The sequence below is a fragment of the Homo sapiens genome, chromosome 3 (assembly GCF_000001405.40).
Source record: "Homo sapiens chromosome 3, GRCh38.p14 Primary Assembly".
Taxonomy (NCBI): domain Eukaryota; kingdom Metazoa; phylum Chordata; class Mammalia; order Primates; family Hominidae; genus Homo; species Homo sapiens.
In genome coordinates, this window is record NC_000003.12 from 113,313,442 (window position 1) to 113,338,549 (window position 25,108).

The 25,108-nt window shown below is 36.5% G+C and overlaps 1 protein-coding gene and 1 long non-coding RNA gene across 7 annotated transcripts in view; both read right to left on the bottom strand.

Moving 5' to 3' along the window:
* The window catches only part of SPICE1-CFAP44 (SPICE1-CFAP44 readthrough (NMD candidate)), a 228,227-nt gene that overhangs the window by 26,512 nt on the left and 176,607 nt on the right, over positions 1–25,108 (bottom strand). For 4 of the 6 annotated variants that reach the window (NR_183046.1, NR_183050.1, NR_183049.1 and 1 more), the window contains 3 exons: positions 16,727–17,227; positions 14,175–14,378; positions 13,004–13,199 (listed from right to left, as the gene is read on the bottom strand). This is a non-coding gene — a long non-coding RNA (SPICE1-CFAP44 readthrough (NMD candidate)). Of the gene's footprint in view, positions 1–13,003; positions 13,200–14,174; positions 14,379–16,726; positions 17,228–19,964; positions 20,143–25,108 lie in introns of all 6 variants that reach the window. The other 2 variants (NR_183045.1, NR_183047.1) reach the window with 2 other exon arrangements.
* CFAP44 (cilia and flagella associated protein 44) overlaps positions 1–25,108 on the bottom strand; it is a 154,585-nt gene that overhangs the window by 26,512 nt on the left and 102,965 nt on the right. The window contains exons 25-28 of the mRNA NM_001164496.2: positions 19,965–20,142; positions 16,727–17,227; positions 14,175–14,378; positions 13,004–13,199 (exon numbers count right to left, since the gene is read on the bottom strand). Of these exons, the coding sequence (NP_001157968.1) occupies positions 13,004–13,199; positions 14,175–14,378; positions 16,727–17,227; positions 19,965–20,142 (1,079 nt within the window). The remainder of the gene's footprint in view (positions 1–13,003; positions 13,200–14,174; positions 14,379–16,726; positions 17,228–19,964; positions 20,143–25,108) is intronic.

Here is a 25,108-nt window from a genome sequence, read left to right on the forward strand (position 1 = left end):
GGACTTTTGGGTTAATGCTGAAATGAGTTAAGACTTTGAGGGACTGTTGGGAAGGCACGACTGGTTTTGAAATGTAAGGACATGAGATTTGGAGGGGCAAGGGGGCGGAATGATATGGTTTGGCTCTGTGTCCCCATTGAAATCTCATCTTGAATTGTACTCCCGTAATTCCCACATGTTGTGGGAGGGACCTGGTGGGAAATAATTTGAATCATGGGGGCGGTTTCCCCCATACTGTTCTCATGGCAGTGAATATGTCTCACAAGATCTAATGGTTTTATCAGGGGTTTCCACTTTTGCATCTTTCTCATTTTCTCTTGCCACCACCATGTAAGAAGTGCCTTTTGCCTCCCACCATGATTCTGAGGCATCCCCAGCCATGTGGAAGTGTAAGTCCAATTAAACCTCTTTTTCTTCCCAGTCTTGAGTATGTCTTTATCAGCAGTGTGAGAACAGACTAATACACCAAGATAAAAACTCAATGAATGAACTCAACAGCAGAATAGAAAGGAGACAGAAGAGAATCAATAAATGTAAAGACTGAACAATAGACATCATCCAATTTGAAAAACAGAAAGAAAAGAGCAAAAACAAAACAAAATAAAACCCCAGAGCCTCAGGGACCTTTTGGATTATAATGAAAGATCTAATATTTATGCCATCAGAGTACCAGAAGGAGTGAAGAAAGAGAATGAGGATGAAAACTTCCCTAATTTGACAAAAGACAGGCTAAGGAATTTGAATTCCAAACAGGAGACACCCAAATAAATTTATGCCAAAACTCATCACAATCAAACTTCTGAAAACTAAAGACAAAGAAAAAGTCTTGAAAGCATCAACAGAAAAGTGACACATTAACTATAGGGGATACACAACTTGTATAGCAATGGATTTCTCATTAGAAACCATGGAAGCCGAAAGGAAATGACACAATGATTTTTCAAGTGCTGAAAGAAAAGTAGTGTCAACCTAGGATTCTATACCAAGTGAAAATGTCTTTCAAAAAGGGAAAAATTAAGACATTATCTGATTTTTTAAAAAAATAAGAACATTTGTCACCAGCATGCCTATCCTAAAATAATGGATAAAGAAAATTCTCTAAACAGAAAGCAAACAATAAAAGAAGGAAAACTTGGAACATCAGAAAAGAAGAACATGATAAGCAAAAATATGGGTAAATACAACAGGCTTTTCTCCTCTCTTCGAGTGTTTAAATTATGTTTGATGACTGAAGCAAAAATATAACATTACTTAATGTGGTTCTAGATGTATGGAGAGGAAATATTTATACAAGTATATTATAAATGGGGGAGGGTAAAGGGATGTAATGGTAAGTAAGGTTTTTGTACTTCACTTAAACTGGTAAAATGATGTAAAATGATGGCAAAATGATGACATTGCTAGACTGGGATAAATGATGACATTGGTAGACTGGGATAAATTATGTATATATAATGAAATATAAAGAGCAACAACTTAAACAGTTATACGAAGAGATGTATTCAAAAACACTACAAAAAATTAAAATAGAATCCCCAAAAATATTCAAGTAACCCACAGGAAAGCAGGAAAAATTTTATAAAAGAAAACAGAGAACATAAACAGAAAATAAAAATTAAATAACAGACAAGCTCTAAAATACCAACAATTGTATTAAATGTAAATGGTTTAAATACACCAAAGAAAAGACAGAGATTGCCAGGGTGAATGAAAAACATTATCCAATCATACGCTGACTACCAGAAATTTACTCCAAATCTAATGACAAGCAAATTCAAAGTAAATAGATGGAAAAAGAAATATTATACAAATTTTAATCAAAGCAAAGCAGGAGCAGCTATATTAATGTCAGACAAATAGACTTTAGAGCAAAGAAAATTACCAGAAACAGAAAGAAACCTTACATAATGACAAAAATGTCAATTTACCAAGACGACATGACACTCCTAAATTTGTATGCATAAAACAACAGAGCTGTAAAATATTTGAAGCAAAAACTGATAGAAATAAAAGAAGAAATGAAATAACCCACAATTGTATTTAGATACCTTAACACCCCTCTCTAAACATTTGATAGAACAACTACATAGAAAAGCAGCAAGAATGTAAGAGACCTCAACAGCATCAACAACCAACAGGATTTAAATGACAGTAATTAAAACACTCCACCCAAAACAGCAGAATATACAGACAGTTTCTGACTTAAAACGTTTTGACTTATGATTTTTCAGCTTTATGATGGTGTGAAAGCAATATGCATTTGGTAGAAACCAGACTTCAAGTACTCATACAGCCATTCTGTTTCATTTTCAGTACTATGTTCAATAAATTATATGAGATATTCAATAGCTGATTATAAAATAGGTTTTGTTTTAGATGATCTTGCCCAACTCCAGGCTAACATAAGTGTTCTGAGCATTCTGAAGCCAAGCTAAGCTAAGCTACTATGTTTGGTAGGTTAGGTGTATTAAATGCATGTTTGACTTGTGATATTTTCAATTTAAGATAGGTTTATCAGGACATACCCCATGGTAAATCAAGGAGCATCTATATATTCTTTGCAAGTGCCCAGAGAACAAATACCAAGATAGATCATATGTTAGACCATAAAACAAACCTCAACAATTACAAAAGAATTGAAATAATACAGAATATGTTCTCCGACCACAATGAAATCAAACTAGAAATCAATAACAGAAAGATAACAGAAAAATTCCAAAACACTTTAAACTAAACAACACATTTCTATACAATTCATGGGATACAGAGCAGGTCTCAATAAAAATTTTAAAAACTACATTGACCAGAGTGAAAATTAAAAATCCAACTTAAAATCTGTGAGATGCAGCCAAAGCAGAGTTAAGAGGGAATTTATAGCACTAAATTAGAAAAGAAGAAAAATATCATCAATAATCTAAACTCCCACAACAAAACCTAAACATGGAAGTATAAAATAAACCAAAAGCAAGCAGGAAAAAATGTAATCATAAAGATAAGAGCAGAAATCAATGAAATTAAAAGGAGAAAAACAATAAAGAAAATCCCTTATAACACAAGCTGATTTGTTCTTGAAAAGATCAGTTGAATTGACAAACCTCTAGCCAGACTGAAAAAAAAAGACACAAGTTACCAATATGAAGAATACAGCTGGCTGTAGTGGCTCACGCCTGTAATCCTAGCACTTTGAGAGACCGAGGTGGGTGGATCACTTGAGGTCAGGACTTTGAGACCATCCTGGCCAACACTGTGAAACCCCATCTCTACTAAAAATATAAAAATTAGCTGGGTGTGGTGGTGGGTGTCTGTAATCCTGGCTACTCAGGAGGCTGAGGCACAAGAATTGCTTGAATCTGGGAGGCGGAGGTTGCAGTGAGCCAAGATCACGCCACTGCACTCCAGCCTGGGCAACAGAGCGAGACTCCATCTCAAAAAAAAAAAAAAAGCAACAGGACAAACAGACAAGATGGCCAACTAGAAACAGCCAGGAAGTGCCACTCCCACTGAGAGAGCCTAAATTATGGAGTAAACCACCATAATTTAAAAATGTCTCCAGAGAGAAAATGCCAAGAGTGAATTGAGAGGCAACAGCGAAGGTGAGGCTGAAGAGGAAAGAAGCTGGGAACCCTGAACGGGGTAACCAAACACCAAGGCTCTCCCCAAACAGCTACTGGGAAAGGGATGAGTAAGAGAACTGAGGGATGGCTCACTCTTACCACAGACCTCTGGAATCCTGGCTATAGGGGACCCCATGACTCCCATGGATGTGTGACCTGGCAGGGGGATCTCCCCAGGGAGCAGGCAGAGACTGGCCTTCAGATGACATGGATCCCGAGTGCCTTTGTGCATTGGGCAGCTCTGACAGAGAGCGGCCATAGACACTCATCCCCCAGAGTTCCTCGTCCCTCTCTGGGAGGCATGGGCTCCAGCTGACCTCCAAGCCAGGAGAGAGCAGGGCCGGCTTCCCTTTGGGACTGGGGCACATCTTCTCTGCAAGCCCTCCTGCCTGCCAGTCACTGCCGGGGCCCATGCCTCACCGCCCTGCAGGAGCAGCTATACAACACAGCCTTTGCAGCCCAGCCTGAGTGCATTGCTGCACCTGAGTAGTTTCCTGGCAACCACGAAGCAAATTGGATCCCCCAGTGCAGCTGGAACCTGACCCTGACCCTGAATCTCAAGATATCCCAGTGTCTCCAGGGCCGTGGTGCACAGCTCAAGAGCATGGAGCCAAGATCTATGGCCAGCACTTGAGCTGGGGAGGAGCCCTCACTCTCAGAGAGTATTGAGAGGGGTGAGATGCATGAGTTCCTGGGCTGGGGTGAGAATGGGGCTTTCTTCCTTTGCAGGGCCAGTCCAGAAAAGATGTTGCATATCTCCCTGCTACAGTCTTTTTGCAAGGGGGCCCCATGGCCTGGAACACCCAACAACAACAAAAACACAGGCACAGTGCCAGTGATTGGAGGGGGCTCCCCCAAGGCCCAGGAGTGGACCTGGTGAGTGGCCATCTCTCCCACTCCCTCACCCCTACTTCAGAACACACCTGCAAACACTAGGAAATACTAAAGAGCTGTGCAGCTGGGTATTAATGCAGCTACTGGCCACTACTGGTTTTTTTTTTTAACAGTCTAAAATGACTGAAATGACAAACATAAAATTCAGAATCTGGATGTCAAGGAAGCTCATCAAGATTCAGGAGATAGTTGAAACCCAATCCAAGAAATTCAGTAAAATGATCCAAGAGCCGAAAGATGAAATAAGAAAGAAGAAAACCAAATTTTTAAAGTTTTTAAACATTTTCAGAAAAAAGAAAACCGAACTCCTAGAGCTAAAAAACTCACTACAAGAATTTCATAATATGATTGGAATATTAACAGCAGAATAGACTAAGATGAGGAAAGAATCTCAGTTCGAGGAATGCTTCTTTGAATCAACTCAGACAAAAGTAAAGAAAAAAATTAAATGAACCAAATCTCTGAAACATATGAGATTCTACAAAGAGAACAAATCTATGACTCATTGGTACTCCTGAGAAAGAAGGAGAATAAGCAACTTGGAAAATATATTTGAGAATGTAGTCCACAAAAATTTCCCTAATCTTATTAGAGAGTTTGAAATACAAACTCAAGAAATACAAAGAGCCCCAGCTAGATATGATACAAGATGACCACCCCAAGGCACACAGTCATCAGATTCACCAAGGACAATGCAAAAGAAAAAAATCTTAAAGGCAGCTAAAGAGAAGGGTCAAGTCACATACAGAGAGAAACCCATCAGGCTAGCAGCAGACCTCTGAGCAGAAATCTTACAAGCAAGAAGAGACTGGGGGCCTATTTTCAGTGTCCTTATAAAGAAAATAAATTCGAACCAAGAATTTCACATCCTGCCATACTGTTTCATAAGTGAAGGAGAAATAAAATCCTTCTCAGTAAAGCAAATGCTGAGGGAATAAGTTTCAACTAGACCAGTCTTACAAGAGGTCCTTAAGGGAGTGTTAAACATGGACTCAAAAATAAAAAAACAAAAAAAAACAAAAAAAAAACAATACCCTTTAGCACACAGCTGGCAGGCACTATAAAGCAACTACAAAATCAAGTCTACATAACAACCAGCTAACATCATGATGACAGGATCAAAAATCACACGTATCAATACTAACCTTGAATGTAAATGGGCTAAACACCCCACTTAAAAGCTAGAGTGCCAAACTGGATAAAAAGACAAGAACCAACCATCTGTTGTCTTCAAGAGGCCCATCTCAGATATAATTATACCCATTGGCTCAAAGTGAAAGGATGGAGAAAGATCTACCATGTAAATGGAAAACAAAAAAAGAGCAGGAGTTGCTATTCTTATATCAGATAAAACAGACTTTAAACCAATAAAAATTAAGAAGGATAATGAAGAGCATCACATAATGATAAAGAGTGCAATCCAACAGGAAGACTTAACTATCCGAAATATATATGCACCCAACATTGGAGCACCCAGATTCATAAAACAAGTTCTTCCTGGCCTACAAAAAGACTTAGACAACCACACAATAATAGTGTGAGACCTCAACATCCCACTGACAGCATTAGACAGCTCATCAAGGCAGAAAACTAACAAAAAAACTCTGGACTTAAACTCAACACTTGACCAATTGGACCTAATACGCATCTACAGAACACTCAATCCAACAACTTAGAATATACATTCTTCTCATCTGCACACAGAATATAGTCTAAGATTGACCACATGCTTGGTCATAAAGCAAGAAGAAAAGAAATAACTATAATTAGAGAAGAACTTAATGAAGTTGAGATACAAAAATCCATACAAAAGATTCATGAAACCAAGAGGTTTTTTTCAAAAAAATAAACAAGATTGCTATATCACTAGTTAGATTAACAAAGAAAAGAAAATGAGAAGATCCAAATAAGTACAATTAGAAATGACAAAGATGGCATTACAACTCATCCCACAGAAACACAAAAGATAATCAGAGACTAATTATGAACACTTCTGAGACTATTATGAACACTTCTATGCACACAAACCAGAAAATCTAGAGGAAATGGATAAATTCCTGGAAATACATAATCTCCCAAGATTGAATAAGGAAGAGATTAAAACAGTGAATAGAACAATATTGAATTCTGAAATTGAATCAGTCATAAAAAATAGATAACAATGAAAAAAAGCCCTGCATCAGATGAATTCACAGCTGAATTCTACCAGACATACAAAGAAGAATTGGTACCAATTCTACTGAAACTATTCCAGAAAATTGAGGAGGTATATTAGTCTCTCTCTCTCTCTCTCTCTCTCTCTCTCAATATATATAGATCTATATTTGTTCTGGCAACTGCAAAGCAAATCAGATCCCCCAGTGCAGCTGGAACCTGACCCTGACCCTGACCCTGAATCTCAAGATATCCCAGTGTCTCCAGGGCTGTGGTGCACAGCTCAAGAACATGGAGCAGATATATACATGATATATATATGATATATATTGATATATATGATATATATTACATCTATATATCATATATGATATATATGATATATAGATGTAATATATATCTAGATATACAGTACTTAATGAAGTTATATATGTATATATATAATGAAGTTATATATATGTATATATAATGAAGTTATATATATCTAGATGTATATTATTAAGTATTAAGGAGTTTATTAAGTGTTAAGTCACATGATCACAAGGTCCTAAAATAGACTGTCTGCAAGCTGAGGAGCAAGAAAAGCCAGTCCAAGCCCCAAAACTGAAGAACTTGGAGTTCAATGTTCGAGGGCAGGAAGGGTCTAGCATGGGAGAAAGATGTAGGCTGGGAGGCTAGGCCAGTCTAGTTTTTTCACATTTTTCTGCCAGCTTTATATTCTAGCCACACTGTCAGCTAATTAGAGGTGCCCACCCAGATTAAGGGTGGGTCTACCTTTCCCAGCCCACTGACTCAAAAGTTAATCTCCTTTGGCAGCACCCTCACAGACACACCCAGGATCAATACTTTGCATCCTTCAATCCAATCATGTTGACACTCACCATCACAGGAGGGATTCCTCCCTAAAACATTCTATGAAACCAGCATCAGCCTAATATCAAAATTTTTTGGCAGAGATATGATGAAGAAAGAAAACTTCAGGCTAATATCTCTGATGAGCATAGACGCAAAAATATTCAAAACATACTAGCAAACCAAATCCAGCAGCACATCAAAAAGTTAATTCCCCATGATCAAACAGGCTTTATTCCTGGGATGCAAGATTGGTTCAACATACGTAAATCAGTAAATGTGATTCACCACATAAACAGAATTAAAAGCAAAAACCATGTGATCATCGTAATAGACGCAGAAAAAGTTTTCAAGAAAATCAAACATATCTTCATAATAAAAATCCTTGACAGACTAGGCATTGAGGAAACATACCTCAAAATAATAAGAGCGCTATGTCAAATCCACATAGCCAACATCATACTGAATAGGCAAAAGCTGGAACCATTCTTCTTGAGAAGTGGAACAAGGCAAGAATGCCCACTCTCACCATTCTATTCAACAAAGTACTGTAAGTCTTAGCCAGAGCAATCTGGCAACAAACAGAAATAAAAGGCATCTAAATAGGAAAAGAAGTCAAAATAACTATCTTTGCTGGTGATATGATTCTATACTTAGAAGACCCCAAAGATTGCCAAGAGGCTACTACAACTGGTAAATATTTTTAGCAAGGTTTTGGAATACAAAATCAATATACAAAAATCAGTAGCATTTCTATACATCAATAATGTACAGTCTGAAAATCAAATCAAGAATATAATCCCACTTACAATAGTGACAATAAAAATGAAATACCTGGGAACATAGCTAATCAAAGAGGTGAAAGATCTCTACAAGGAGAATTACAAAACAATGCTGAGAGAAATCAGAGATGACAAAAATAAATGGAAAAACATCCCATGCTCATAGATTAGAAGAATCAATATCATTAAAATGGCATATCCTCCAAAGCAATATACAGATTCAATGCTACTCCTATCAAATTACCAACATCAGTTTTCACACAACTAGAAAAAACTAAAAACTATTCTAAAATTCATATGGAACCAAAAAGGAGCCCAAATAGCCAATGCAATCCTAAAGATAATCCACAAAGCTGGAGGCATCACACTACCTAACTTCAGCTATAAAGCTGTAGTAACCAAAACAGCACAGTACTGGTACAAAAACAGACAGACACATAGACCGCAAGATCAGAATAGAAAACTCAGAAATAAGGTTGTGCACCTACAACCATCTTATCTTCAACAAGGTTGACAAAAACATGCAATGGAGAAAGAAGTTCCTATTTGATAAATGGTGTTGGGATAACTGGCTAGCCATAGACAACCTACAGAATGGAAGAAAATATTCACAAGCTATGCATCCAACAAAAGACCAATATCCAGAATCTATAGCAAAAAACAAATAACTCTATTAAACAATGGGCAAAGGACATGAACATACACTTCTCAAAAGATTACCTACAAGCAGGCAACAAACATGAAAAAAATACTCATAATCACTAATCATCAGAGAAGTGCAAATCAAAACCACAATGAGACACCATCTCACACCAGTCAGAATAACTATTATTAAAAAGTCAAAAAAGAGGCTGGTGAGGCTATGGAGAAATGGGAGCACTTATACACCATTAGTGGGAATGTAAATTAGTTCAGCCACTGTGGAAAGCAGTTTGGAGATTTCTCAAAGAACTTAAAAATGAGCCACCATTTGACCCAGCAATCCTATTAGTGGGTATATACACAAAGGAAAATAGATCATTATACCAAAAAGACATATGCACTCATGTTCATTGCCATGTGTATTAGTCCATTCTCACACTGCTAATAAAAACATATGCAAGACTGGGTAATTTATAAATGAAAGAGGTTTAATTGACTCACAGCTCAGCATGGCTGGGGACGCCTCAGGAAACTTAAAATCACAGTAGAAAGGGAAGCAAACATGTCCTCCTCCACATGGCAGCAGGAAGGAGAAGTGCAGAGTGAAGTTGGCGGCGGGGAAGCCCCTTATAAAGCCATCAGATCTCATGAGAACTCACTCATCATGAGAATAGCAGCATGAGGGTAACCACTCCCATGATTCAATTACCTCCAACCAGATCCCTCCCATACATGTGGGGATTATGGGGACCAAAATTCAAGATGAGATTTCGGTAGGGACACAGCCAAACCATAACACTGTGCTATACACAACAGCAAAGACATGGAATCAACCTAGGTGCCTATCAATGGTGGGTTGGACAAAGAAAATCTACATATACACCATTGAATACTACACAGCCATAAAAAAAGAATGAAATCATGACCTTTGCAGCAACATGGATGGAGCTGGAGGTGATAATCCTAAGCGAATTCACACAGGAACAGAAAACCAAATACTACATATTTTCATTTGTAAATGAGAGCTAAAAACATTGAGCACACATGGACATAAGCACGGGAACAACAGACACTGCAGACTATTAGAGTGGTGAGGGAAGGAGGGGGGCATTGGCTGAAAAACTACCTATTTGGTACTATGCTCACTACCTGGGTGCAATATACCAATGTAACAATCCTGCACATATACCGCCTGTATCTAAAATAAAAGCTGAATTTTTTTTTAGAAAAAAAGAATGCAACAGGTGATATTACTACAGACCCTGTAGACACTAAAAAGATAAGGATATTCATGTATTAATTTGGCATCTTAGATGAAATATACCAATTCCTCAAAAAACCACAAACTACCATGACTCACCCAATATGAAATAGATCATTTGGGCTGGGTGCAGTGGCTCACGCCTGTAATCCCAGCACTTTGGGAGGCCAAGGCCGGTGGAACACAAGGTCAGGAGATCAAGACCATCCTGGCCAACATGGTGAAATCCCGTCTCTACTAAAAACACAAAAAAATTAGCTGGGCATGGTGGCACGTGCCTATAGTCCCAGCTACTTGGGAGGCTGAGGCAGGAGAATCGCTTGAACCTAGGAGGTGGAGGTTGCAGTGAGCACAGATCGCGCCACCGCACTCCAGCCTGGTGACAGAGCAAGACTCCGTCTCAAAAAAAAAAAAAAAAAGAGAGAAATAGATCATTTGAACAACCCTATAACTATTAAGAAAGTTGAATTTGTAATTTAAAAACTCCCCCAAAAGAAATGTTCAAATCCAAAAGCTTTCACTGGTGAATTCTACTAAGTGTTTAAAGAATAATTACCACCAATTCCATGCAAGATCTTCCAGAAAATCAAATGGAAAAGAAAATTTTCTGATTCATATTAAGAAGCTAGTTTTTATTACCCTGATACTAAAACCAGACAAAGACAGTACCAAAAATGAAAACTACAGAAAAATGATCTTCATGAATATAGACAAAAAATTTCTTAATGAAATATTAGCAAATAGAATTAATCAATATATAAAAAGAATTTTGCACTATGCCAAGGAAGGTTTATTTCAGAAATGCAATTCTGATTTAATAATCCATAATTAGCCAATGTAATCTACCATATTAATAGGCTAAAAAGAAAATTACATGATCATGAATCAATGTAGACAGGCATCTGACAAATTTTCACCCCCATTCACGAAAAAAATTCATGAAAAAGAGGAACAGAGGTGAACTTCCTTAACTTAATAGAGTATCTATAAAACACCTACAGGTAATATTATACTTAATATTGAAAATAAAGCAAGAATGTCAGCTTTCAGCACTCACATAGTACTGGATGTTCTAGCCATGCAATAAGGCCAGAAAATGAAATAGGCATCCTGATCAGAAATAAATAAATAAAACTGCCTATATTTGCAGACGAAATTATTAGGTGAAATTATTTTCCCATTATTAATAGCAAAACCCACAATTACTTTTGCACCAACCTAATCATCTACATAGAAATCCCCAAGGAATCTATCAAAACCTCTTAGAACTAATAAGTAAGGTTACGGGATATCAGCTAAACATGTAAAAATCTATTAGTAGCAATGAACATGAGGACACTGAGATTAAAAATACAGTATCATTTAAAATCACTAAAAAAGGGGCCGGGCACAGTGGCTCATGCCTGTAATCCCAGCACTTTGGGAGGCTGAAGTGGGCAGATCACAAGGTCAAGAGATTGAGATCATCCTGGCTAACACAGTGAAACCCTGTCTCTACTAAAAATAGAAAAATTAGCCAGGCGTGGTGGTGGGAGCCTATAATCCCAGCTACTTGGGAGGCTGAGTCAGGAGAGTGGTGTGAACCCGAGGGCGGAGCTTGCAGTGAGCCGAGATCACGCCACTGCACTCCAGCCTGGGTGACAGAGCCAGACTCCGTCTCAAAAAAAAAAAAAAAAATCACTAAAAAAGGAAATAGGTGTAAATCTAACAAAACATGAACATGAATTATATACTGAATACTAGTATACAATTTTGATCAAAGAAACCGAGGTTCTAAATAAATAGAGATATATTGTGCCTTTTTTATTTTTTATTTTTTTTGGAGACAGGGTCTTGCTCTGTCGCCCAGACTGGAGTGCAGTGGCATGATCTCAGCTCACTGCCAGCTCCGCCTCCTGGGTTCACGCCATTCTCCTGTCTCAGCCTCCCTAGTAGCTCGGACTACGGCATATTGTGCTTTCCATTGGAAAACTCAATGTAGTAAAGATACCAGTTGTCTCCAAGTTAATATACAGTTTTAACACAATTACTATCAAATTTCCAACAAGATTTTTTGTAGATATAAAGAAGATTATTCTAAAATACGGAAATATCAAGGAACTAGAATAGCTACAACAATTTTACAAAAGAAGAATAAAGTAGGAGGAGTTAGTCTACCTGATTTAAGGGCTCAATATGTAGCTACAATAATCAAGACTGTAGTATTGGTGAAAATATTGACACATAGATCAATGTAACAGAACCTAGAAATACATCCACACAAAGATGCCCAAATGATCTTGACAAAGATCAAAGCAATTCAGTCGAAGAGAGACAACCTTTTCAACAAATGATACTACAGTAAATGAAAAGGCAAGCTACGCACTAGGAAAAAATATTTGCAAACCACATATCTGACACAAGACTAGTATACAGAATATATAAAGAACTCTCCAAACTCAACAGTAAAAAAAGCAAATGATCCTATTCAAACATGGGCAAAAGGAGACATTTCACCAAATAAGATATACATATGGCAAATAAACACATAAAAAGATGTGCTTATTAACTTAAACTACACTATGCTCACTCATACCAGATACACATAAACATGTGCACACATGTGCAAACAAACATGCACACAGATTAACTCGAGGTGTTGGAAGACCCTAAGGTTTATGTCTTCTCCTCTTTAGCCCCCACAGTGTCTCTACATTGTCCATGTTATAGTGAAAAAAATAAGGTATCTAATAGGTCCCTTAGTTACCTCTCTATTTCATGTTAATGAGAGAAAATAAGATCATATGCAAGAAAGAAATACAAACCAGCATCTCCTTCAACTTCTTTTTTCTTTACCCGTTTAATCTTCTTCTTTAGGACCTTCATGAGGAAGTTTGCAAATTTATTGTTTTCTCCAATGGCTGCTTGAAAACCAGCATAGAGTGCCTTTTCTTGCTCCTGGAGTTTGGTGATTTCATTCTTTTTCTCTTCCATCTCTTTAAGAGTTTCATTTATTTTCCACTAAATGAATAAAAACAAGGACAAATGATAAATATTTCTGATAAACCAAGTTCAGAGAGCAATGTACTTTACAATACAAGGTTACAGTTTACAAATATATTTTTTAAAACTTCTTAAAAGAAGGTTACATTTCTGATGTTTGCAGAGCCATCCATTTATTGGTTAAAATTTTATAATTCCTTTGTAAAAATCAGTCATGTTTAGAATTAGAAAATCAGCTTTTTAGTGCTAAGCATCCCCCCAAAATCTAAATTAAATTGAAACTTTTCCTTGAAATTCCTTAAATTGAATATGTGGATGTCAGCTAATATTTTTGCATGTGTAGTCTCAAAAACCAATGAATTTTTTGTATTGATATATAACTAAAACAAAGAGACATATAATTTCTAGTGAAGCTAATATACCTAAAAATGAATGTTACTATTTAGCATATACTATCTGTTTAATAGAATCTTTCTTATTTTAAAACAAAGCTAGTATAATTTATTTTCTGAAATTTAATATACAAATATAACAAATAAAGGAACCTCATTTCTTATGATATTCAATCATATATTACACTGAAGCTGTCATACTTAAGAAACTCACCAGCTTCTTTTTCAGTTGTTTTCATAAGGATAACATATAATCAAAACTCAATTTTATATCATAGCTTACTTTTTTGTTTTTTAGGGAACCCAACTCACCAGACTGGTGTAGAGTGGCACAATCAAAGGCTAACTTGTGAAAATTTTATTCTTCTACCTTACAGAATATCAGACCAAATTTACTAAAAAATCTGAATCATTTCTCTTTGACCATGAATACTAAAGATGGAGACTAGGTAGGAATAACAGGAAAAAGGAGGAGGGGGAAAGAAGACAAGAAAGAGATAAGGGCTAGAACAAGTGGGAGATTTGAGTTAAGAAGAAAAAGAAATCAAGTTTCTCCATAACTAAGGGACCAGCCAGCTAGGATTCTTCTGCCCACTCATACTTGCATGTACTGTTCCTCTTTGTCTAAGGAATTAACACGTTCTTGAAGTATGTTCTCCTGTTTTTCAAAATTCTTCAGGAGAAGTATTTCTTGAAATAAGGTGACATGGTGCAGGTCAGATAATTTCATCTGAGTATCTAGTTTTAGTTTCTGATGTCTAAGGAGACGGAGTTCTGCATCGAAAGTGACAACCAGTTCTTTGATCTGAGATGGAAAAAATATTTGCGGATACGTTAGAAGACTAGATAAATGCATTTTTAAACTATCTAACAGTACTAATTTGTATGAAGTCATTTTTTATTATGCCCTTATGGATGGAGAATTGTGTGTGTGTGTATAGTCACAAAAATAAATTCATTAATGGCATTAAGTTTACATAAATTAATTTATTAAGTGGTAGGAATTGTGTAACTAGAAGTCCTTCCACCTATTTCTTCACCATTAACTAAGCCATCAATCAAGAATGCCCTTCTTGCTTTACTGTGTAGCTTATGAGCTCTCTGAGTGGGTAGTGTTTCTATCTGTCTCCTCTTTATTCTCCATAGTATCTCTACAATCCCTTTTATATAGTAAGCACAAATAAATACGTTTCCCAACTTCTTATGTTGAAAATTTTCAAAACCACAGAATGGTAAATATTTTTAAATAGATAAAATAATCATGGAGCCACAAAAAACCTGTTCAATCTCTTTCTAAGATTGAAGAAATTAAGGTCAAAGTTACTTTTCCTGATAAGAGCCGAAGTATCCCAAGTCCTGGTCCAGACTTTAATCCATTATGGTCCTACTAATTTTAAGTCCTCAGTTTTGTTCTGATTTTGGTACAGCTTTCCCCCAGCTTTCCCCCCCAGTATCACAAAGGAGATGAAGAGGTCAAGAGAGAGCCCCAAGGGCTGATTCTCCTGAGGAAACTGGAACAATAGGAAGAGACAAACCATTCTATGTTTTTAATTAGTTTGTACATGATAGGTGGCCTCAACTGTCAAAAGCCTATAGTAAGTGAGGACCCAGACTGGGGCTGAGGAGAGAAAGAGATCTGTGGGTTTGGAGCAGTGAAACTACCAGAGAAATTTAGAGAGCTTAAAAAAAAAAAAAAAAAAAAAAAAAAAAAAAACAGAGAGAGAAGAAAAAATTAAACTTTTAAGTAACCATCTCTATAGACTATATGTTTGGGCTCCCCTTTAAAGCTTGTTTAACAAACTTGAATTATTCCTGCATTTATTTGGAGGACCACATAGGTCTCCAAGTCTGTAAGGATTACACTTGTTTTATTCTCTCCAATCCCAATAGCCTATAAGCTTTGTGAAGATAGAGAACATGTCTTTCTTAAGAATTGTTGTATCCCTAATCCTATCTATCAGTGTCCCTGCATACAGAACATCCAATAAATATTTGCTAAATTAATAAATTAGTTACAATTAAATCAATCAAAACTTTTGACTGAATATCTATTATATGTTTGACATTGTCCTAGACTATGTGGAGGAATCAGAAGTATATGTGGCCCTTTGCTCAAGAATTGTGTAATTTAATTTTCAAGACAATACTAATACCCATGAAACAGCAAGGAAAATTAGTGTAAAACATGAGATGCTTATTACAGGTGCAACTGGAGTTTAGAAACAAGGACAGCATAAGTAATGTGGGCGGAAAATGCTGGAGAGGGTTTGGAACTGAGCCATGCTTTGAATGATAACTCAACTCTGGAAGGAAGTCATTACTGGTGGAAGGAAGTCATTACTGGTAGAAGGAAACAGCAAAGGAAAAAGCACAGATGCAAAACTCAGAATGGTGTGGGAGGAAAAGGTGGAGTGGAGAGAGGCAAGAACAGTGAGAAAACAGGGCTGGACAAAGAAGAGATAATGGTGAAGAATAAGGCTGGGAAGCTACTGAGGGCATCACCACAGGGTGAAGCTGGAAAGACACACTGAGGAAAGGGAATCTACATGGCTGACAGCAGAGAGTTATCTATCCAAGAAAGGTTATTCTTTCATATTCAAAGAACATCCTGCCCAACAGGCCCTAGTCTGGTCCTGAATTTCCTAGAAATAAGAATAGTCGCCATTCCAGCTCCAGAACAATCTCAAACCCAGTAATCACCATAAACACTTCTACTAATGGAACAAACCACATATTAGAGAAAAAGGATGGTGTGAAAAGCAGAGGGTGCCCTGTTTCTCTGGAAAATTCTTAGCTATGTTCCATCCATTATCTATGTTCCATCCATCATCTAAAAGCTGCTCCTCCACTTCCCCTTTACGATGACTTCAGTTAGATGCCAAGTAACTGAAACATGGGCTTCCCCTTCATTCTTTGTCAGCTTTCCAAAACAAAAAAAAAAGTTTAAAAGCTCTGTAGTTCTGGGAAGAGCACAGTGATTTCCAGAAGGCCAAGGATGGGGAGGAAGCCAAGCCATCACTGAGTGGTAAGCTGGTCAGGGTTTGGGAAAGGTTCATGCAGAGAAATTTTAAATAAATAAACAAAAAACCCGACCCAATTTTTTCCCTTCTCTTCTCTCTTTCAGCTTTAACTAGGAACAGGTTCACCCCTTACCCTGTTGACCAAATACTGTTGCATGTACACGTGTTTAATCTCGTCTCTCTTCATAATTTCCAGCTCCACATCCGTTGGCTCTGCTTTTTCAAATTCCAAACACTTTGGTATATCTAGGCTGAATGTTGATGCCTTTGATGATCTAGATATTGAATCACGGGTTGTCAAATCCCCATCCTTTCTAGAAGAGAGTTTGAGGAATCCTCCAACTGGGCCTCCAGACCCTGTCTGTTCCACTCCGGGGGACTTTTCATCTTTACTTTTCATTTGCTGTTGCTTAAAATTTAGGAGAGTTTCTTCATCATACTGAAATCTCTTTTCTGGAACTTCTTCTGGGTGTATCTGAGGAATTTTGGGAATGGGTATGTGCTTGGATATGTGAAGAGTCGACTGAATGTTCTTCAGTTCTTGTACCAGGCACTGTATTTCCTCAACAACAGCCACTTTAAGGTCTCTAAGAGAGAGAATGCACTTGTTCATGTGCCTTTTATTTCCATGGACCTGAAAAAAAGAAGAGGAAGGAAACAACAGTACAACCCTCTGACAAATAACTGTATGGAATATGATCTGCTCTTTTCTGTTGCTGAAAGGCCTAGAAAAAATTCAAGATAAAAATTCATCTGATCATACCTTTTTACCACCAAGTTTCCCTTTTCTTTAATATTGAGGATTTTTTCCATTTAGGCCCTCCAAGATGGAAGGACAGACTACATATGACCTCTGGTATCTCTTGGCTTCCCACGATTTGTTCCCTCCAGCTGGCTCGTGTGGCTGAGTTCCCCTGTCCTCCTTTATCACTCCATGGAAGTCCTTCCAGGAGCCTTGTTCAAGCTGGATACTCTCTCCAGGGAGGAAGGGAAAGGCAATTAATTCATTTTCCTCCTGGAACTTTGAATCCCTTTGACTTAGACTCACTTAGGGCTGCCCACCTAGGCCCAAACTACAGGTTAGCCTATTTTCATTCTGTATTTTGGCCACATGATTATTGTTAGTCCTTGTGTAGGCAAGGCCATGATTCTGAATTTCAGTAGCATGTCACACCAAGAGACTGCAGGATCCTTCCTTCATTCCTTCTCCATTTATCAAAGCCAAGCTGTGCCTCTGCTTCCAGGCACAGGGGCTATACAATCTCATTGCTCTTTCATTACCAGCTGTCTCCCTGGTCTGTGTTTTCTAAATGCCATTCTGAGAGCCTGAGAGCACATGCAACCCTACTGTACTTCCTGTGTGCAGTTAGGCTACTAGATTGTCCAAAGGCCATTAAGAGTTACTTTGCATAAACATACAGTTTTTTAAAGATCAAAAGTCACTCCCTCAAGCAGTCTTACAAAAGCTACATATATATTTACTATCTGCAACACAGAAAACTGTATCAAGATAGAGGAAATGTTCTGCAACTTGAAAATAAACCTTTAAATCACTAAGGTTTAAACTCAAAAGCCAGCAGTTGGGTGAATGGACAACCACCTGTGAAGTGTCTGAAGGACTGCAGATTAGGCCACCAAGAACAAACCCATATCACTGATGGCTGTAAGGCCTACCTTTTTAAGGAGACTCTTCACACATCAACTCTTTCTTTCTAGTTTTTCAAATACCACACAAACCTAAATACTGGCTGAGAAAAAAGACAAATAATACACTATTTTAAAAATATTTAATACTTTTCAATGATTTTCAATTTGACCATGACAATAAAGACCATTTATGGATTTTGACCATTAAATTAACCCTATGAGGTATACCAGACATGTCTTATTGTTAATTGGTATTAATACTCTTTTTACAGATGAAATAAAAGGCTTAGGGAGATTTATATGACTTAGCAAAGTTCACATGGCTATTAAGTGGCAGAGATGGAAACAGAACTCCAGTCTTCTGACTTGTAGAAAAAGGTGTTCTATGTGATTTTATTTTAATAAAGCAAATTTCAGTGTAATGCAATTAAGTTGAAGATATCATACCTGCCCATCTCCTCTAGCTAGAGTATGAAATTTCAGATTGGATAAATTGTGGTCATAAGAACATTTCTCTACAATGATGTATGTAACATGATGAATAAATAAAAATTACCTTAGAAGAACAACTAGGAAAACAATCCAAATGGTCATTACTAAAATGTCCAAATTGTCCATTTTGATGAGAAACACACAGTTATGAGTTATGAAAATGGATTTGTGAATATGAATTGCCAAGCCAGGACCCTTGTGCTGCTGGGATGCATCTCTTTGGTGAAACAGAAAAAGACACCCCTTCCTCAGGACATTTCATTTTCATTTGTCAGAAAATTACAAAATATTCAAAAATACTATTAATATAACCATGATGTGATTGGCACCCTCTCCAAAGTGATGCCTTGAAATGTGCAACCTCCACAACCACATTAGGTTACGATGTATCGAGTTCTCCTAAAAGTAGTAGCTCAGATGACCTTTAAGCCTTTAAGTATAAAAAGTCACTTGTCATTTCAAATGGTGATTAAGGAATTAATATAGCAGGAAGAGGAACTTTCATAAGAAAATGGGCATCAGAATGATCAGGATGATTGAAAGTGGTTTGGAAGAATGCAGAGAAAAGAACAAAGAAATATATTAGTTTGTGAGCATTGAGTTGCCTAGAAAAGTTTGGAAGTCCTACAAAAAAAGGTTAAACAATGGCCTTTTAAATCTAAGTCTTTGGTGGTCCATGGCAACGAAAAACTACATCCAATGAGGATTTGTTTGAATTTCAGAGGTTCAAAGTCCACAAAATATAAGCTTACCCATGAAACTGGTACTAAAACATGGTATTTTAAGGAAAGCTCAAAGACAGAAGGAGTCTTCTGAGAAATGCTAACTCAACAAAGATGTATTAATACTTCTAATAAGGCCACAGCAAAAAAAGAGATAGAGACATTCATCAGAGAGTCAAACTCCGACCTAGATTACCAGATATCCTTGATGACCCTGCCATACCTGTCAGGCAATACCCATCTATAACCCCCAGATATACTGTAAGTATTTGCAGCTGGTTCTTCCATATTAGCTGACTAACCATGGACAAATCTCGTGTCCTCTCTGGGCCTCAGTTTCCTTATTTGTAAAAAGAGGACATTCTAGATAATCATGGAAGTCTTTTCCAGTTCTAAATTTCTATGGTTATATATTCTTATTGACCAGATAGGGAAATGAGTGGTTTTAGCAGAATTTAATTAAGAACCCAGGGTGCCTTCTCCATTGTCATAAAATCTGTAGATAAGTACCAAAGAATCTAGGTGTCCTAGTTCCTCTTCCTTCTTGGCAGCATTTATTCTCATGTGCTCAGGTATCTTGTAGTCTGGGGCTGTCTTCAGATTGAAATCTCCCATATACACCTGGGCTTCTTTGATGGCTTGAAGATCTTTGGGATCTTCATAGTCATCACCAGGTTTACTCTTGTATCTATTAGAAAAACAGACAACCCCCCCACACACAAATATGACAATAAACTCTAATTTGTCTACTTTAATATAGGCATATATTCAAATTTAATCATGAAACAAAAGTATGATTTCAAATCTGTGATGCCACTTTTGTCACAGAGCCCAAGCATTTTTTAAAAGTCAATTACTATTTTTAAAGTATCCCAAGCAAAATAATATACAATTATATAAACAGGAACCAATCACTAGATTGTACTGAAATAATCTGAATTACTGGTAGGCTTTGGTTCACTTCTAAGTAATTCATATTAACATTGTTATTTATTCTCTTGATATAAATTAAGCCTTGGAAATTAGGTGGGTTTTTTAATGACTAAAAAGTCAATTAAACTTTTTTTTTTTTTTTTGAGACGGAGTCTCACTGTGTTGCCTGGCTGGAGTGAATTGTGTGATCTTGGCTCACTACAACCTCCACCTCCCAGGTTCAAGCGATTCTCCTGCCTCAGCCTCCCAAGCAGCTGGGACTACAGGCATGCGCCACCACACCCAGCTAATTTTTGTATTTTTAGTAGAGACGGGGTTTCATCATGTTGGCCAGGATGGTCTCCATCTCCTGACTTCATGATCCGCCCACCTCAGCCTCCCAATGTGCTGGGATTATAGGTGTGAGCCATCATGCCCAGAAAATTAAACTTTGTAATTGCATAAGTGCTTGCTGTAAAATTTTCAGAAAAGGTATCTAGTTTAAGATGATAGCATGAGCATACATATTTGCCTCTCCCTCTGTCCCCAGATTCCCTGAAAATGACAATATAGAAGTACAAAACATTGTAAATTATCAGAAAAGCTAAGAATGGAATAGAAAGCCATGAGCAAACCAGTGACACTGATCCATTTCTGGAAGACAAAAAGAAGATGAAATTACATTAATGAATAAACCAGACCAAACTATAGCCCAGAATACCCACAAGATAAGGCCACAAAAAGGATTGAATATTATCTTCTTGGTGAAGTCCCTAGAATGCTCCAAGCACAAAGAGGACAGGTATAGAGAGTGGAATGGAATGCTAGATATATTTAGCAAAATTAATTAAAGGATTGAAAAAAAAATGCTTAAACCAGTTGGGCCCTCCCAAACTTTCCCACCTACACACATACGAAACAGTGGCAATCTTTATATCCAGACTAAAATTGAAGAATTACTCTCTACAGAAACTGAACTCTTGCTTTGGAAGCACTCAGGTATCTAAAGGTATGGGCTATCATAGTACCTTGGTACTAATAAAAGGCCCTTCATTGGGAGATCACAACATTCCTGTCTAATTTTTTAAAGTAAAGTCTACTAGCCAACATGAGCGTGTACACATAGCTCTCACAGGAAACCCATACCATCTATTGTATTAACTGATAATCATTTATTTGTGTAAAACTGCACTAAAATGAAGGATTACTATTTTTAAAGAAAAGGAAAGGAGAAAGGGAGAAAGGAAAGGAAAGAAAGAAAAAGGAAGGAAAGAAAAAGGGAGGGAAGGGAAGAGAAGAGCTACTTCTGCCTCTGGCCATGTGAGAGTAACAGGGCCCATTATTATCCTCATAATATAAACAACCAGAAAACTGAACAAAAAATATGTGAAACAACTATGTTCAGACACTGAAAATAAGCAGCATAAAACTGTAATTCTTGAGAAAAGTAAAAAGACATGATCCTTATTATCTCCTGGCTGCCGCAGAGAGGAAATTACCAGCCTGTGGAGTAGGATCAGGATCCCAAATACAGCCCAGTGAACTCACTGACTGAAGAGACAGAGATCAGAGTACAGGGAGGCCAAATTTGGTGCTAAGAATTTGTGGAAAAGAATATCAGAGGTACACAAAGAAATGCTTCTGGAAATCTACATAGCGCCTTAACATTTTGGCTGAGTATTAATCTGTACATGTGTAATGTGAACCACCATGAAGCTGGGCAAAGAACAATTCCTAGGAAAAGTACAATTACTGGGAAACTGTAGAACAAATAATTCTCATAGTTTACACATAGCTGGGAATCACTCATGTTCCCATCAACTGGAGAGACCTTGTTGAGTACAGAGGACATTCAAGAATAATCATAAAAAATCATGCTTCAAAGAGAGAAAGGCATAGAAGATATGAAAAACATTATCAATCCTCTTGTCCTAATTGACATTTATAGAACACTATGCCAAGCAATGCAAGAAAGCATACTCTTTTCAAGCACATATTGAATTTTTACGTAGATAGACTGTATATGCGTGGCCATAACACAGTTCTCCATAAATCTTTAATAACTTAAATTATACAGACTATTTTCTATTACCACAAACAACTAAATTAGAAATTTAATAGGAAGATATTTTTTAAACCCCAAATCTTTGGAAACTAAACTACAAGTCAAGGAAGAAATCACAAGGGATATTAGAAATACTTTGGACTAAGTGATAATAAATGTCTACCATATGAAAATGTGTAATGCAGCTAACTCAATGCTTAGGAGGAAATTTATAGTTTAAATGTTTATATTACAAAAGAAGAAGGGCATAGAATCAAAGCTTATACACAAGTTTACACATTAAGAAGCAAGAAACTAAAAGCTAATTAAACCTAAGTTAACTAGAAGGGAAGAAATTATAAAAATAATAGTAAATCAATGACAGAGAAAGCAGACCAAACAATATTTTAAAATCTATGACCAAAAGCTAGTTCTTTGAAAAGATCTATAACATGGGTAAATCACTAGCTGGAATGATCAAGAAAAAGAGAGAATATGAAAATTAACAATATAAATAAAACAGAGGGCATCAAAACAGATACTACAGAAATTAAAATAAATATAAGGGAGTAATATAAACTACCTTATGCCAATAAAATTGACAACTTAGATGAAATGCACAAATTTCTTCAAAGACACAAATTATAAAAACTAACTCAAGAAGAAATAGAACATCTGGATAGCACTATAACAACAAAAATTTTAAATTTGTATTTAAAACTATCCCTCAAAGAATACTTACAGATGAATTCATTGACAAATTCCTTAGTAAAGCAGAAGAAAGAAAACAGAAATCCAAAAAATAGAACAAACAGAAAACAAAATATAGAATAGCAGATGTAAGCCCTAAATATAAATAAGTACATTAAACATAAATGGTCTAAATATACCATTGAATGACAGAAATGGGCAGCATGGATTTAAAAACATGACCCAATTTTATGTTGCCTAGTGAAGTTAGTAAAGACACTAACTTCAAATATAAAAGTATAGGTAGATTGAGGTAAAGGATGGAAGCAGTTATATTATTTAACCACTGAATGCTTCCTAAGATAAGGAACAAAGTGTGGATGCTAGTTCTTCCCACTGTATTTCAATATAGTACTGGAAGTTCTAGCCAGTGCAATAAGAAAAGGAAATAAGATGCAAACAGATTAGAAATAAAACTGTTCCTGTTTACAAATGACATGGTTGTCTACACTTAAAATACCAAGAAACCTACCAAAAAAATCTTACAACTGAGACAGTTCAGAAAGGTCACAGGATACTAGATAAACAAACAAAAATCAATTATATTTCTATGCTAGCAGTGAATGTGAACACATAGACACCAATATTAAAAACACAATACCATTTAAAATTGCTCAAAAAAGAAATGCATATGTGCAAATCTAACAAAACATGTATAGAACTTTTTATGCTGAAAACAGCAAAACACTGATGAAAGAAATCAAAAATCTAAATAAATGGAAAGTCATACCATGTCCATGGATTAGAAGACTCAACACAATAAAGATACAAATTCTCCCCAAAGTAATACACTGCTTTAACATAATTCTTATTGAAATTATGGCAAGATTTTGTATACATATAGACAAGATTTTTCTGAAATTTATATGGAAAGACAAAGTAATTATAATGTCTAAAATAATTTTGAAAAATAAAATGAGAGGAATCACTCTACTGGATTTCAAGATCTATTATATAAATATATGAATCAAGACAATGTAGTGTTGGTAAGAGGATAGATATGTAGATCAACAGACTTGAAAGTAAACCCAGAAATAGACCCACACAAATATGTCCAAATGATTTCTGACAAAGGTGCAAAAGGAATTCAAAGGAGGAAATGTCTTTTCAACAAAAATGCTAGAGTAATTGGACATCCGTAAGAAAAAAACAAACAAATCTCAACCTAAGTCTGATAACTTATTTAAAAATTAGCTTAAATATAAAATGAAAAACTATAAAATGTTTAAACAAAAATAGGATAAAATATTTAGGACCTAGGGCAAGGCAGAGTTCTTAGACTTGACACCAAAATCAAGATTTATATAAGGAAAATTGGTAAGTTGGACATCAACTAAATTAAAAACTGTTGCTCTGTGACAAAACTCTCTAATAAGGGAGGCCAAGTGCAGTGGTTCACACCTGTATTCCCAGCACTTTGGGAGGCCAGGGCAGGTAGATCACTTGAGGTCAGGGGTTCCAAACCAGCCTGGCCAACATGATGAAACCCTGTCTCTACTAAAAAAAAAATGCAAAAGTGGTGGCACATGTTTGTAATCCCAGCTACTTGGGAGGCTGAGGTGGGAGGATCATTTGAACCCAGGAGGCGGAGTTTGCAGTGAGCTGAGATTGCACCACTGCATGCCAGCCTGGACAACACACGAGACAATGTCTCAAAAAAAAAAAAAAAAAAAAAAAAAAAAAGAACAAACTCTGTTAAGGGAATGAAAAGACAAGCTACAGACTAACAGAAAATATTTGTAAACTATATATCCAACTAGCATATAGTATATATCCAGGACTAGTATCTAGAATATATAAAGAAGTCTAAAATCTCAACAGTAAAAGAGCGAACAATCCTATTCAAATGTGAGAAAAAGACACGAAGAGTCATGTCACTAAAAATATATAGATGGCAAATAAACCAATGAAAATATGTGCTTGTCACGTGAAACTACCTCATACCAGA